Consider the following 15318-nt stretch of genomic DNA (forward strand, 5'->3'; position numbering starts at 1 on the left):
CTTCGACATATGCATTAGGGAAAACAACATTCAGTCCATGGCATCTGCCTTAAAAATAATATTGAAATCCCTATCTGGATGTGTAGGTCCAGCATGACCCAGCCCCAACCAACTAATCTACCTCATCTTTACTTAATCTCTTAATAGAGACCTGATCTTCTGTAACCTCAAAACTCCACCTACCCAACCCTTGCTGTCCCTACCCTGCTGTATCTAACATCCAATTATTCCATATCTTCTCTCCTACTTTAGGAAAAAATTTCTACCATGACATCACTTTGTTAATGGCAGCATCTTTCTTTCTCTATGTCCGACACCATCTCAGATAAATCCCTGCCTATTGGTTTTACCTTGGGCTTTTGTATCTAAAGCATCTCTTCACCAACTGTTAGGCTATGCTGCTTTCCCTTCTTTTATGTTACAAGCGTGAACTCATTTCTTCAACATAAAACTAACATAATTTTAGATTGTGAAATTTTTCATTTTCAAATAAAATTTGTGACCACTTTATTGCAGCATTGATGTTATGCTTCTTGAATGCATTAATTGGCAAGTGTTAGTGTTTTATTTCGGTAACTATCTAGAAGGCAGTTTGAAAACTAGAAAAAAAATATTCAAATGTATCTTAATTAGATACATAATGGCTAAGAGAGTATATTGTCATTCTTTTCCTTTCTTTCACTTTCACTTTATCTAGATTAGGACCTATTCTAACTTAATTATTCCTTTAATTTCATTCTGAGAACATAGCTATCCTAGGTAATATATTTTGGAATTATTACTAATGAGAGGAAAATAGAGTTTCTAAAACTAAAGTAATGAATCATTTGTCAAACATAGATTTGTGAAAGTAATTTTAATTTTTTTACTTGTGTAAAATTTAAGGTGTATAAGTGCAGTTTTATTACATGGTTCTATTGAGTCATAGTGAAGTGTGGGATTTTAATGTAACCATCACTAGATAGTGTGCATTGTACCCATTAAGAAATTTGTCATCCTTCATCACCCCTCCCACTCTAAGATTCATTTTTATGTGATCAATTATATCATGACAAATAGAAAATCACTCATGTGTGCTAATACCATATGTAAGTCTAAAGACACTAGGCCATAGATCATCTGCTATACATCATGAAGATCTCTCCTAAAACTGAAGAGCATATGTAGTAAAGGCTATTTCATATGGCATTATCAAAAGGATTTAATGTCCAGTTATTACAAAAACCAAACACACACTAAGAGCAAACATTTCACTCTCACAGATTTAGACTATTTCAGACTCAGAAAAGTAGGCAGATCCTAAATGTATAGATGCCCACAAATACAAAATCACAAAAATAATCTTCCTTTTAGTTTGTTACTCATTTGCTGCTGAATAATAAGTACTGGTACTGCATTTCTTACTATCTTGAACACCACTCAACAATGCTTGCAGTAGTAGACAAGTAAAAATCATAAAATCATATGTAGAAATAATTTTACAGGTGTCATATTACAAAGTTAAAAATGTGATTTACAAAAATGTGACAGATATGAATATGATTTGCATATAAACTTTTACTCAAAAAGAGATTATCACACAAAATATATGGAAATGGGCATGAATATCATTATATAGATAAGTAAACAAGTTTGACATTTTTATAATTAGTAGAGGTAGTTGGAAAAGATTCCACTTTTATTAAAAAATAACACAATGGAGATGACTTTAGAAAGAAAAACATAAGCTAAAATAAATTTATAAATTTGTGCATAAAAACAATCAGTTAATTTATAACTGATTCTTTGAAGATTCAAATTCTGTACAATTGAAAGTCATAATGCCAAAGAAACTTGAAACTAATTTCTACATTGAGTTCCTGAGAAAAAGCATGGTAATTACTAATATTTTGATGAAAAAATAAGCAAAACTGAAGCTAGAAGACATATAAAATCAAAACTGGAAGACATAGAAAATTAAAGCTGTCTATTTAAACATAATGTGAATAAAGTAAGTGACTCACATGTACTGTTTTGTTTTGTCTCTATTTCATACAGTAGAATTTATGTAGAGTAACTACACAAGGCAAAAAATGTATATTTTCAAAAAATTCTTTGAGAGGAATCTGATTATTTTATTAAGTGGACAAATGAGTATAGGGAGAATATGATCTACTATTACCTGTACAGTGTTATTACATACTTGTGTTATTTTAACTGGTTTTATCACAGCTAGTGAGTTCTAGCTTCATTCAAGTATTGGGGAGGGCAAGGCCAGTAGAAAGTAAAATACTTAAAGATATAAAATAATATAATTTTTAAAGTTGTAACCTAAGAGAAGGTGAAAATAACTTCACTTTGAACTAGTAAAATAATTAAGAAAGTCCAAACTTATCCAAGACAAATAGAGAGAAATTAATAGAAAGGGGTTCATTAATACAATTAGAAGCTGGGTCTGAAAACCTTTCACAGGAAACCTAATAAGGGTTATTTATTAAAAATTCTATCTATTTTTAAATATTTCTATTGTTAATGCTATGAATATTAAAAATAATGCATTGTATAAAATTTACCCATAGTTTTAATTAAAAACAAATTCATTTGTTATTCTGAAAACATACAAACACCCATATATAGTAATTGATTTTTAGAAAATTATAGACCATATCTTGAGGTTAGTTCTTTAGTTTGAACTAACATTAAATCTAAATTGAGATTTATTTTTTTCTGTGTATTATTTCTTTTAAAAATCTCATAAAATTTTTGATTTGGTTAACTGGTTAGCTCATCTGAATTTATATTACATTTCTCAGAGAAATATACTGAATACAAAATTCTATTTGAAACTTTTTAAAAATGTCAAGCCATAAAATCTAAAAGGTGAACTAATATGAAATTTAACTCACAGAAATGTGGATATGTCTCTTCTATGCATATATCCAGAGACAGATGTCAGAATAAACTTTAAGTTAAATCATACATAAAAGGTTTAAACTAGAGTTTTTCAAACAAAATAAACATAAGTCAAAGGCAAACAAGAAAATAGAGTTTTCATAGCCTCAAAATATCTGTCCCAAGATACTTATTTGCAGAGGAAAGACAATAACTTTAGAGTGGACAATCTTGGCAGACATTTTCTTAACTAATTTAAATCAATGTCATTAGTAGTGAGACATATTAACACGATGAAAATGACAACGATGCACTAAAAAGGACACCTCATTTTTCTGGAACCCTTCACAAAAATGCATATCCTTAGTCTAACAGTGTGGAAACGTTAGAAAAATCTAGTTGGAGGGACATTCAACACAATAATCAGTGTGCTTCAAAAGTGTCAAAGGATGAAAGACAAGGACATACTCAAAAACCATCACAGCTTGCAAAAGGCTTAGGAAAAGGAAAGCAAACATACAATGTGGAATTCTGAATAGGATCCTGAAAGATTAAAAAAAGACAGTAGTGGAAATCTGGTGAAACTCCAATAGAGTCTTCAAAGTAGATAATGTTTCTGATAATTGTAAAACATTATGCAATATGTTAAGTTTGGTGAAAGCTGGGTAAGAGATATATGGAAACTCTCTGTACTATTTCCATGTATTTTCTTTAGTCTGGATATAGTTAAAAATTAACAAAAAAGTTATTGAAGGGGGTACTATAGCAAAGAAAAATACATTAGATTCTGCTAGGCATTGGTATAAGATGTGGGACTGATGACAAGTAAAATAGGAAGAAATTCCTTTTGGTGATGGAACTATTCTGTATCTTGATTGTCTGGTGGTTAAATTGATCTCTACATTCCCCAAAACACATAGAAAGGTTATCAAAAGAGTACAATTGATCGTATGTAAAACTTAAACAAATAAAAAAATAAAAATAGCAAGTTGCCTGGGAAATTATTCGCAACAAATATAATATATAGGTATTGTTTAATATATAGTTATAATATATAGTTTCATTATATAATATATAATAAAAATAAAATAAATATCAATAAAAAAGCATAGTATCCAACAATGGTGTTGGGAAAACTGGCTAGCAATATGCAGAAAACTAAAACTGGATCCCTTCCTTACACCTTAAACAAAAATCAATTCAAGATGGACTAAAGACTTAAACTTAAGACAAACCATACAAATCCTAGAAGAAAACCTGGGCAATACCATTCAGGACATAGGCATGGGAAAAGACTTCATGTCTAAAACACCAAAAGCAATGGCAACAAAAGCCAAAATTGACAAACGGGATCTAATTAAACTAAAGAATTTCTGCACAGCAAAATACACTATTATCACAGTGAACAGGTAACCTACAGAATGGGAGAAAATTTTTGCAATCTATCCATCTGACGAAGGGCTAATATCCAGAATCTACAAAGTACATAAACATATTTACAAGAAAAAAAACAACCCCATCACAAGGTGGGCAAAGGATATGAACAGACATTTCTTAAAAGAAGACATTTATGCAGCCAACAAACATATGAAAAAATGCTCATCCCTACAGGTCATTAGGGAAAGGAAAATCAAAATCACAATGCAATACAATCTCACACCAGTTAGAATGGCGATCATTAAAAAGTCAGGAAACAACAGATTCTGGAGAGGATGTGGAGAAATAGGAATGCTTTTACACTGTTGGTGGGAGTGTAAATTAGTTCAACCATTGTGGAAGACAGTGTGGCGATTCCTCAAGGATCTAGAACTAGAAATGCCATTTGATCCAGCAATCCCATTACTAGCTATATACCCAAAGAATTATAAACCATTATGCTATAAAGACACAGGCACACATATGTTTACTGTGGCACTATTCACAATAGCAAAGACTTGGAACCAACCCAAATGTCCATCAATGATAGACTGGATAAAGCAAATGTGGCACATATACACCATGTAATACTATGCAGCCATAAAAAAGGGTGAGTTCATGTCCCTTGCAGGGGGACATGGGTGAAGCTGGAAACCATTATTCTCAGCAAACTATCACAAGAACAGAAAACCAAACACCGCATTTTCTCACTCATAATTGAGAGTTGAATAAGGAGAACACATGGACACAGCAAGGGGAACATCATACACCAAGGACTGCCAGCAGGTGGGAGACTAGGGGAGGGATAGCATTAGGAGAGATACCTAATATAGGTGACGGGCTGATGAGTGCAGCAAACCACCATGGCACGTGTATATCTATGTAGCGAAATTGCACACTCTGCACATGTACCCCAGAACTTAAAATATAATAATAAAAAAAGAAAAAGATAACCATATGTTGTCTACTAGTAAAAAAAAAAAAAATAAAGTTTTAATCTCCCCCAAATCTCTGTATTTCTTCTAAGTCTTGTGAAGTACTTTCTCAGGATAAATGTCACTGTATTCAAATAAAATTGTCCCATTCCTAATCCATAAAGATTTATTATTAACTCCAATCGTATTCAAATATCAACCATCTGAAATGGTTGTTATGTCTGTTTTGCTGGATAATACCGAGGGGATGTGGAATTGCAGCTTAGGTTTTATCTACTTTATGACCTTGCAGTGGCATGGCAAAGGAGACAGGATCTCAGAGGACTTTACAAAGTATGTTTACAAGGAATTGGAATTGTGAGTATAGGTAAGGTCTCCTGGTCACAGAAAAACAGGCAGTTAACATTCCTTTTCGTTTCGGGGGAGGGGGAAAGGAGAGGGAGAGAGGGAGAGAGGACTCAGGGAAACTTACAGCAAAATTTTTGCTGTTTGTAGCTTTCTTGGGGAAGCAAACATGCACAAATCCTAGTGTTAAGAATATTTTAAGCATATATCTTCAATATTATTCATCCAGGAACGAAGTAAGTCCTGATGTAGGAAACTGAGTGAGTTTCACAGATTTCTGAGCCCCTACTCGACCCAGGAAGCCCAGCTGGCCCCTCCTCTCAGTGAGACCTTAAACTTAAGAACCCTTAGAAGTAAATATTCTTCAGGCTAAAGACCGTAAACCAAGACCTTCAAATCAATACAATGTTGGCACAAAATTGAAAGATTCCATCTACAATAACAGAAAAAGAATGTTGTTTTGAGATCTTACTATCCTTTTTTCTTCTTACTATGTTACTTGTTACTTTATTTAAATGAACCTTAGCAACTGTCCTAAAAGGATTTTTCAAAATATTACTCCATTTATATCATTACCACATTCTTGACCCTCCTATCCTTTCTCACATTTAAATATATCATTTACCTGCTCTTTTCTCTGAATCTTTTTGATGATTAGCTCTATCTGCTACAACTTAAGCTCCTAATAAACACCTAATTGATATTTCATTAAATATTACAGAGGAAATATTCCCTTTAACTGGTTCATTTTATACTAGAATTATTCATCTGTATTAACTCCAACCTTCAATCTTCTAAAAATCAGGCTCTCACCACAAATTACTAGGATGCTTCTGTAGAAACCATTTCACGCTGTGAGCATAACTGAGTTCCCCAGGGTGAACAATTGATATAGGAGCTATTCTCACCTCAGTAGTCAGTCTGTTTGTTCTTTTCAAACATTCTCCAGCCTGCTTCTCAGGAATTATTCATTTCTATTAAGAGAATTCCACTAATCTCAAAGGATGGATAATTGGCTTATTCCTGATATGATAAATTAGACAATATGTTCCTCACCAGAGTTTAGTTCTTAAGTGGAAAGCAGACTTTCAATCGACTACTTTATGTACCCTGTCTTGTATTTATGATGCAGTTACTAGAACTTTCAATATATAAAAAATCCCTACCACTCCAGAGGACCATGTTTCCTTGGGAATTATACCTGGAAACATGAAAAATAAGGAAAGCACAGACAACTCAGGATTGCTTCCTAAAAGAGAATAGATTTTCTTCATGTGCACTTTTGGGCTGCTATTCCAACAACAAGTGTATAAGCAACAATAAAAATTGATCCAGATTTTATCATTGAATTTCGCAGAACTGAAAAACGACTATTGATTTTGCTCTAGGGGCCAAGCTTATATACATTAACCAGGATCCAATCACAGCCCTGGATTTATTTTTGCTGAGGCAAGAAAGGGAATAGTTCATATTTTACGTTGCATCAATATAAATGTCACTGGTCAGGTGAAACAACGTACATATAAACTTAAAGAAAAGTCATCTGTCTTCCTATAATTAAGCTTAATTGATCATAGACATATTATGTTCTAAACTTAGCAATTTAGATATATATATACACTCATTATTTTAGAGGAATTAATAATGACTCTGCTTCTGATCATTTCTTTTATTTCATTTGGAAATGTATTCTTTCCAGAGTCTTAAATGCCTGTATGTATCCATTTTACATTGGATTATTCCTGAGTTCATGCTACAATAATAAAAAACGACAAAAATATTCAGCACTTATTTTAGTCTACCTAAAACCAATAATATCTGTACAAATTTTGACAGTCAGACTGTGACTTTCTATTGATGTGTAATTTACATATAATAATATTTACCCTTTCAAGTAAAAATCAGTGTTTTTAGTGTATTCACAAAGATGTGCAGCTATTACCACTAAACAATTCCAGAATATTTTCTATTTGTATATTATTTACTGTATCTTCTTTAGAGGAATATCTATTCAGATTCTTTGCCAATTATTAAATTTGGTTGTCTCTTTAATATGGAATTATGGATATTCCTTCTAACTTCTGGATAAAAGTACCTTTTATAGATATGTGATTTCAAATATTTTCCCATTCCGTCAATGCCTTTTTTCATTTTCTTTATAGTGTCTGCTGAAATACAGTTTTAATTTTAATATTGATTTTGTAATTTGTCTTTTCTCTTTTCCTTGATAATGAAGTCCAATTTATGTTTTTTTCCACTGGTGTTTTTGCTTTTATATCTAAGAAATTTTAGCCTAATCCAAGATCATAAATATTTTCTCAAATATTTTCTTCTAGGAGTTTTTTTTTAGTTTTAATTTTTATATTTAATTTTATGATCCATTTTAGTTAATTTTTGTGTATAATGGAAAACAAAGATCTGTCTTCATGGTTTTGCATGTAGGCATCTAGTTTTATTCCAGAACCATTTGTTAAAGAGACTACTTTATCCCCATTGAATTAACTTGGCAGCCTTGTTGAAAATCAATTGACCATAAAATAATGGGTTAATTTATGGGCAATAAAATTCTATTTTATTGATTTATATGTCTATCTTTATGCCAGTACCACAGAGTCTTTCTTATATTAGCTTTATAATGGTAAACCCTCAAGGTTAGCCAGAGGTGGGAATGTAGGGCCTTATCAGGCCTTTCATCTAGGTTACATAATTTGTTGGAATCCAGTTGTTTATGATATTTCCTTGTATAGTTATTTCTGCAGTCAGTAATAATGATCATTCCTTTATTTTTGATTTTTTGCAATTTGTCTTTTCTCTTTTGCTTGGTAATTCTAGCTAAAGGTTTATCAATTAAATTGATCTTTTAAAAGAACTAACTGCTAATATTACTGATTTTCTTATTGCTTTTCTATTTAGAATTTCTTTAAACCCTGCTTAAATTATTAATGTTTTCTTTTTTTCCTGCTTGCTTTGGATTTGATTTGTCATCTTATTCTAGTTTTCTAAGGTGGAAAGTTCTGTTATGGATTTGATTTTTTCTTTTTTAATATCTATATTTTCAGCTATAAATTGTTCCTCTAAGCATTGTTTTAGTTTCCTCCCATAAGTTTTAGTGTGTTATGCTTTCATTTGCCTTCATCTCAACGTAGTTTATAATTTCTCTTCTGATTTCTTATTTGACTTGTTTAGTATTTAAAGTGTCTGGTTTATTTTCACACGTATTTAAATTTTCCATATTTCCTTCTGCCATTGATTTCTAATGCCATTAAACCAAGGTCAGTGAATTTCAACCATTTCAAAAAATATTTCTTTATTTATTTTTAATTGGCAGTAATTATACTTATGGGATAGAATGTTATGTTTTGATCTTTGTATACATTATAGAAAAATTTAATGAAGCTAATTAGCATATCCATTATCTCACGAACTTATTATAGTTTTATGGTAAGAACATTAAAAATCCATTATTTTAGCAATTTTAAAACATTAAATACATTATCATGAACTGTGGTCATGATGAAATGCAATTGATCATGAAAACTTATTCTTGCCATCTAACTGAAACCTTGTACACTTTGACCAATATCTTCTCTTCCCATTCCCCCTGTCAAACCACCACAGCCACTGGTAATAACTTTCTATGCTCTGCCTCTGTGAAATCGATGTCTTTAGATTCCACATGTAAGTGAGATCATACATTATTTTATCTCTCTGTGTCTCGCTTATTTCACTTGACATAAAGTTTACCAGTTCTATGTTGTCACAAATGAAAAAAATGTCATTTTTTAAAAAAAGCTGTGTAGTATTCCATTGTGTATATATACTGCATTTAAAAAGTTTATTCACTCATTGATAGACACTTAGATTGCTCCATCCTTGGCCATTGTAAATAATGCTGCAAATAACATGAGTGGACAGATATATCTTTAATATAAAAATTTCAATTCTTTTTTATATATTCCAGACATGGAATTGTTGATCATATGGTAGTTCTCTTTTTAGGTTTTTGAGGAAATTCCATATTATTTTCAAAAATGCTTGTACTAGTTAACATCCCCAACAGTGTACAAGGACTCCATTTACTTCAGGTACTCACCAACACTTGTTATATTTTGTCTTTTTTGTAATAGTCATTCAAAAGAGCTTGATAAAATATATCATAGTGATTTTTATTTGCATTTATTTGATGATTAGAGAGGTTGAGCATTTTTTAACATATCTTTTGACCATTCATATGTCTTCTCTTGAGATACGTCTGGCCAGGTTCTTTGCTAATTTTATAATCAGGATATTTGTTTTCTTGCTGTTGAATTATTTAGTTCTTTATATATTTTAGATTTTTGTCCTTTATCAGAGATACATGGTTTGCTATTATGTTCTCTTAATCTGTGGGTTGTCTGTTCACTTTGTTCATTGTTTACTTTGAAGAAGCTTTTTAGTTTCATGCAATCAATTCTTAAAATTTATGGAGGCTTTTTTTTGTTCTTTCCTGTAGAATGTTTCATATTTATTAGAGAAGGATGTATATTCTGCTGTGTTTTTTTGACATGTTCTATAGATATCTCTTAGGTCTAAGTAGTTTATCATGTTTTTTAAATCTTCTATTTGAGTATTGACATTCTGTCTTATTATAGCTATTATTTCAAGGTGAGCATTCAAATATCCAATTATTGTTATTGAAATATATGCTAATCCCTTCAATTCTGTCAATTTTGCTCTCTATGTATTGGATCTCTGTTGTTAGATGCACATAGGTTTATAATTGGTACACCTCTTGATAGATTTACCTTTTATCATTACAATTTTTCAATCTATATTAACCATTTTTGTCTTAGAATACTGAAAACTATTACAGCCACTGTAGCTCTATGTTGGTCATGCTTACATGGTATATCATTTTCCATTTTTTTGTTTTTAAACTATTTGTGATTTTTTTAAATTTTATTTTAGATTGAAGAGGTACATATGCAGGTTTCTTATCTGGGTGTATTTCATGATGATGACGTCTGTGGTACAAATTATCCCATCACTCAAGTACTGTGCATAACACCTAATAGTTTTTCAATGGCTACCCCCATCCCTACCTCTGCCTACTAGTAGTCCCAAGTTTCTATCATTGCCACCTTTATGTCCATGAATATGTAGTGTTTAGTTCCCACTTGTAAGTGGGAACATATCATATTTGGTTTTCTGTTCCTGCATTTATTCTGTTAGGATAATGGCCTCCAGGTGCATCCATGTTGCTGCAAAAAGCATGAATGATTTCATTCTTTTTTTCTGACTGTGTATCCCATTGGCTGAGCCAGCACAGAGCTTATGCCTGTAAATAAGGATCAAATTTATACCTGGCTATATTGCCTGCTCCCAGCTATTACCTATAAGTATCATCTTCTGGCTTGTAGGTCACACTGCACAGTCCAGTATAAAACATGCCAGAAGAATTGCCAAAACACTCTACCTGGCATTCCCTACAGTCACACTCTCTGGGGAAGGGAAAAAGGGAAAGAAAGAAAGCAATAATATTATAGAGAAAGAAAGAACAAAAAAAATTACTTTCATGAAAATAATTACAAAAAAATACAAGTATCAGTGTCTCTACAAGAGAGGGAACCAGCACAAAAATTCTGGCACCATGAAAAATCTAACTGTATTGACACTACCAAAGGATCACACTAGATATCCAGCAATGACCTCTAGCCAAAATGGAAACTCAGAAATGACAAATAATTTAAAGCATGGACAGCAAGGAAGCTCAGCAAGATCCAAGACAATGTTGAAAATCAACACAAGGAAACTTCTAAAGTAACCCAGAAAATGAAAGAAGAGATAAACATCTTAAAACAAAATCAACCAAAGCTTCTAAAATTGAAAAACTCATGTAAGGAATCTCAAACTACAATTAAAAGCTTTATCAATAGACAGGACCAAGCAGAAGAAATAATTTCAAAGCTTTAAGACCAGACTTTTTTTTAACTTTTATTTTAAGTCCAGAGGCACAGGTACACATTTGTCACATAGGTAAACTTCTGTTATGAGGGTTTGTTGTACAGATTATTTTATCACCCAAGTATTAAGCCTAGTACTCATTAGTGGTTTTGCTTGATCCTCTCCCTCCTTTCACCCTCCACTCTCCAAAAAGGCCCCAGTGTGCGTTTTTCCCTCTATGTGAAGATCACTGTTTTGAACCAATCCAGTCAGACAAAATAAATTAAGAAGAATTTTTAAAAATAAACTCTCCAAGAAATATGGGATTATGCAAAGTGACCAGACCTATGAATTATTGGAATTCCTGAGAGAAAAGGAGAAAAAGCAAACAACCTGGAAAACATACTTGAGGGAATAATTCAAGAAAATTTTTCTAATCTTGCTAAAGAGGTAGACATACAGATATAAGAAATCCAGAGAACACTTGAGAGATACTATATGAAACAGACATAACCAAGGCACATAGCCACCAGACTGTCCAAAGTCAATGCTTAAGAGAAAATCTTAAAGGCAGCTCTTTGTGATTTTGAATCTAATATATATGCCTCTTATAGATAGCATATAGTTGAATTATATTGCATTTTAAAATCCATTTTACTATCTGTTTTTTAGTGGGAGTGTTTAGTTCACGTACCTTTTTATATAAATTTGTGGGGTTCAAGTGTTTTGTTACATGCATAGATTGCAAAGTGGTGAGGTCAGGGTTTTTAGGGTATCCATATCACCCGAATACTGTACATTGAACCCACTTAGTAATGTCTTATGCTCCACTCCATCACCCTCATTCCTCTGAGTCACCATTATCTAGCATTGCACAATCTACAGCCACATGTAAGCATTATTTAGTTCCCACTTATAAGTAAGAACATGAGGTATTCATCTTTCTTTGTCTGACTTGTTTCATCTAAGATAATGGCCTACAGTTCTATTCATGTTGCTGCAAAATATGTGATTTCATTCTTTTTATGGCTGAATAGTATTCCATTGTGTATGTATACCACCTTTTCTTTAACCTATTATGCATTGATGAACACCTAGGTTGATTCCATATCTTTGCTATTGTAAATAGTACAGCAATAAACACACTGGTATAGGTATCTATTTGATATGTTTTCTTTTCCTTTGTGTAGTCACTCAGTCATGGGATTGCTAGATGAAATGGTACTTCTATTTTTAATTCTTTGAGAAATCTTCATATTTTTATAGAGGTTGTACTAGTTTACATTCAGACCAACAGTGTATAAGCATTCTCTTTTCTTCGAATCCTTGCCAACATGTTATTCTTTGTTTTTCTAATAATAGCTATTCTGACTGGTGTAAGATTATATCTCACTGTGGTTTTAACTTGCATTTTTCTGATGATTAGTGATGTTAAGAATCTTTTCATATACCTGTTGATCATTTGTATATCTTCTTTTGAAAAACATATATTCATGACCTTTTCCCATTTTTAAAATAGTATTATTTGTTTTTGCTTTTGTTGTTGTTGAGTTGTTCGAGTTCTTGCAAATTCTGGATATTAGTCCCCTGTCAGATGCATAGTTTGCACATATTTTCTTCCATTCTGAAAGCAGTCTGTTCACCCTGTTGATTCTTTCTTTGGCTGTGCAGAAGCTTTTTAGTTTAATTAAATCTAATTTGTCTATTTTTGTTTTCGCTGCCTGTACTATTGTGGTCCTAATCATAAGTTCTTTGCCTAGACAAATGTCCAAAAGAAATTCCTTTGGTTTTTCTTCTAGTATTTTTATAATATGAGGTCTTCCATCGAACTTAATCCATCTGAGTTGATTTTTCATAGATGGTGAGACATAGGGGTCCAATTGTATTCTTCTGCATATTGCAAGCCAATTTTGCTAGTACCATTTATTGAAAAGGTTATCTTTTCCCTGATGAATGTTCTTGTTAATTTTTTCAAGATCAGAAGGCTGTAAATATGTGGCTTTATTTTTGAATTCTCTGTTCCGTTCCATTGATCTGTGTGTCTAATAGGAGTACCATGCTGTTTTGGATACTATTAATTTGGTAAATCTGGCAGTGGAATGTTTCTAGCTTTGTTTTTTGCTAGTGGAATGCCTCCAGCTTTGTTTTTTAATTTTGATTGTTCTGGCTCTTGGGCTTTTTTATGGTTCCATATGAATGTAGAATATATTTTTTTTTCTAATTGTGTGGAAAATGACATATTTTCATGGAAATTGCATTGAATCTGTAGATTGAAATTGTCATTTTAATATTATTAATTCCTCTAAGAGTATGGGATGCTTTTCCATTTGTTTGTGTCATCTAGAGTTTATTTCAGCAGTTTTATAGTTTTTCTTGTAGAGCTGTTTCACCTCCTTTGTTAAATATATTCCTAAGTATTTGTTTTTGTAGCTATTGTGAATGGGATTGCCTTCTTGATTTAGTTTTCACCTGGATTGTTATTGGTGTATAGACACACTACTGCTTTTTGTATGTTTATTTTGAATCCTTAAACTTACCTTGTCAAATCTAGGAGTTTTTTCATAGGGTCTTCAGGATTTTATATTTATGGCTTCTGCATTCACAAATTCAACCAAGAGCACATCAAAAATTAGGAAAAATAGAATAAAATAGAATGCAAATGAAAGAATAAAGATAACAACTATTTACCTAGTATTTACAGTGTTGTAGGTATTATGAGTAATCTGAAGGTGATATTAAAAGGGGTAACATATAAATTTAGTAAATCATGTGAAGAACAAAATGTGAGAGTCAATAAATTATTTAATGTATTATTATTCAAATATATAAATTTTGTCACCATGTTAAATAATGTACTCACTCATCTAAACTGATAATTTCTTTAGTAATCCACTAGTCACTTTATTTGCTGTAATTCTCAATAAAAGTGAGAGAGTAACTCATATATGCTGACAATCATTTAATATTTTTAGTTATAAGTTAAATGGTTTGAATTACAAAACCAGCTTACTCAAATAACTTGGTATGTAGCTAAACATACAATTGCCAATTGCTTATCTTTTTTTTTTTTTTTTTTTTTTTTGAGACAAAGTTTCACTCTGTTACCCAGGCTGGAGTTCTGTGGCTCCATCAGGGCTCACTGCACCTTTGACCTCTTGGAGTGAAGGGAACCTCCCACCTCAGCCTCCTGAGTAGCTGGGACCACAGGCATACACCACTAAGCCCAGTTAATTTTTGTTTGTTTGTTTCTGTAGAAGTGGTGTTTCCTCGTGTTGCCCATGCTGGTCTCCAATTCCTGAACTCAAGTAATCCATCTACCTTGGCCTCCTAAAGTGCTGGGATTACAGGTGTGAGCCACCATGCTCAGCCTGCTCATCATTATTTATATCAACTTCAATCCTAAGGATTATGCTTTTCCTTCTGTAGGATTTACTAAAAAGAGTCTTTTCTTTGGAATAAACTATTTTGTGACTTTTCTATAAAAACAATGAGACTAGGATTATAGAACATGACTCCTATATTGCATAGCTTCTCAATGAAAGGAAATATTGAAGATAAATAAAAGGACAAATTGCATATAAGATAAATTAAATACATTATGAACCACTAGAATTGATAAAGTAATATTTATGTTGTGTTTTTTCTCTCACGACTTTCATCTGACTTTTCACAGAGCAAGTCAGAGACAGTAATCTCATTATAATGGTATTAAAACACCACTCTTAAACACAAACTGTTTTGAAATTCTTACTTTACAATAACACTCAAGGTTAGCATTAGAAAAAATGATCCTTACTGGTACCTTAAAAAATCCTTTCTGCAAAAAAAG

At 32.0% G+C, this 15318-nt stretch overlaps 1 long non-coding RNA gene across 2 annotated transcripts in view; it reads left to right on the forward strand.

Moving 5' to 3' along the window:
- LINC02315 (long intergenic non-protein coding RNA 2315) overlaps nt 1-15318 on the forward strand; it is a 186338-nt gene that overhangs the window by 56066 nt on the left and 114954 nt on the right. The window contains exon 4 of one of the 2 annotated variants that reach the window (NR_109757.1): nt 14744-15013. The exons of the other annotated variant lie outside the window; for it this stretch is intronic. This is a non-coding gene — a long non-coding RNA (long intergenic non-protein coding RNA 2315). Of the gene's footprint in view, nt 1-14743; nt 15014-15318 lie in introns of those variants that run through there. 2 annotated transcript variants of the gene reach the window in all.

This window comes from Homo sapiens, chromosome 14 (genome assembly GCF_000001405.40).
Source record: "Homo sapiens chromosome 14, GRCh38.p14 Primary Assembly".
Classification (NCBI taxonomy): Eukaryota; Metazoa; Chordata; class Mammalia; order Primates; family Hominidae; genus Homo; species Homo sapiens.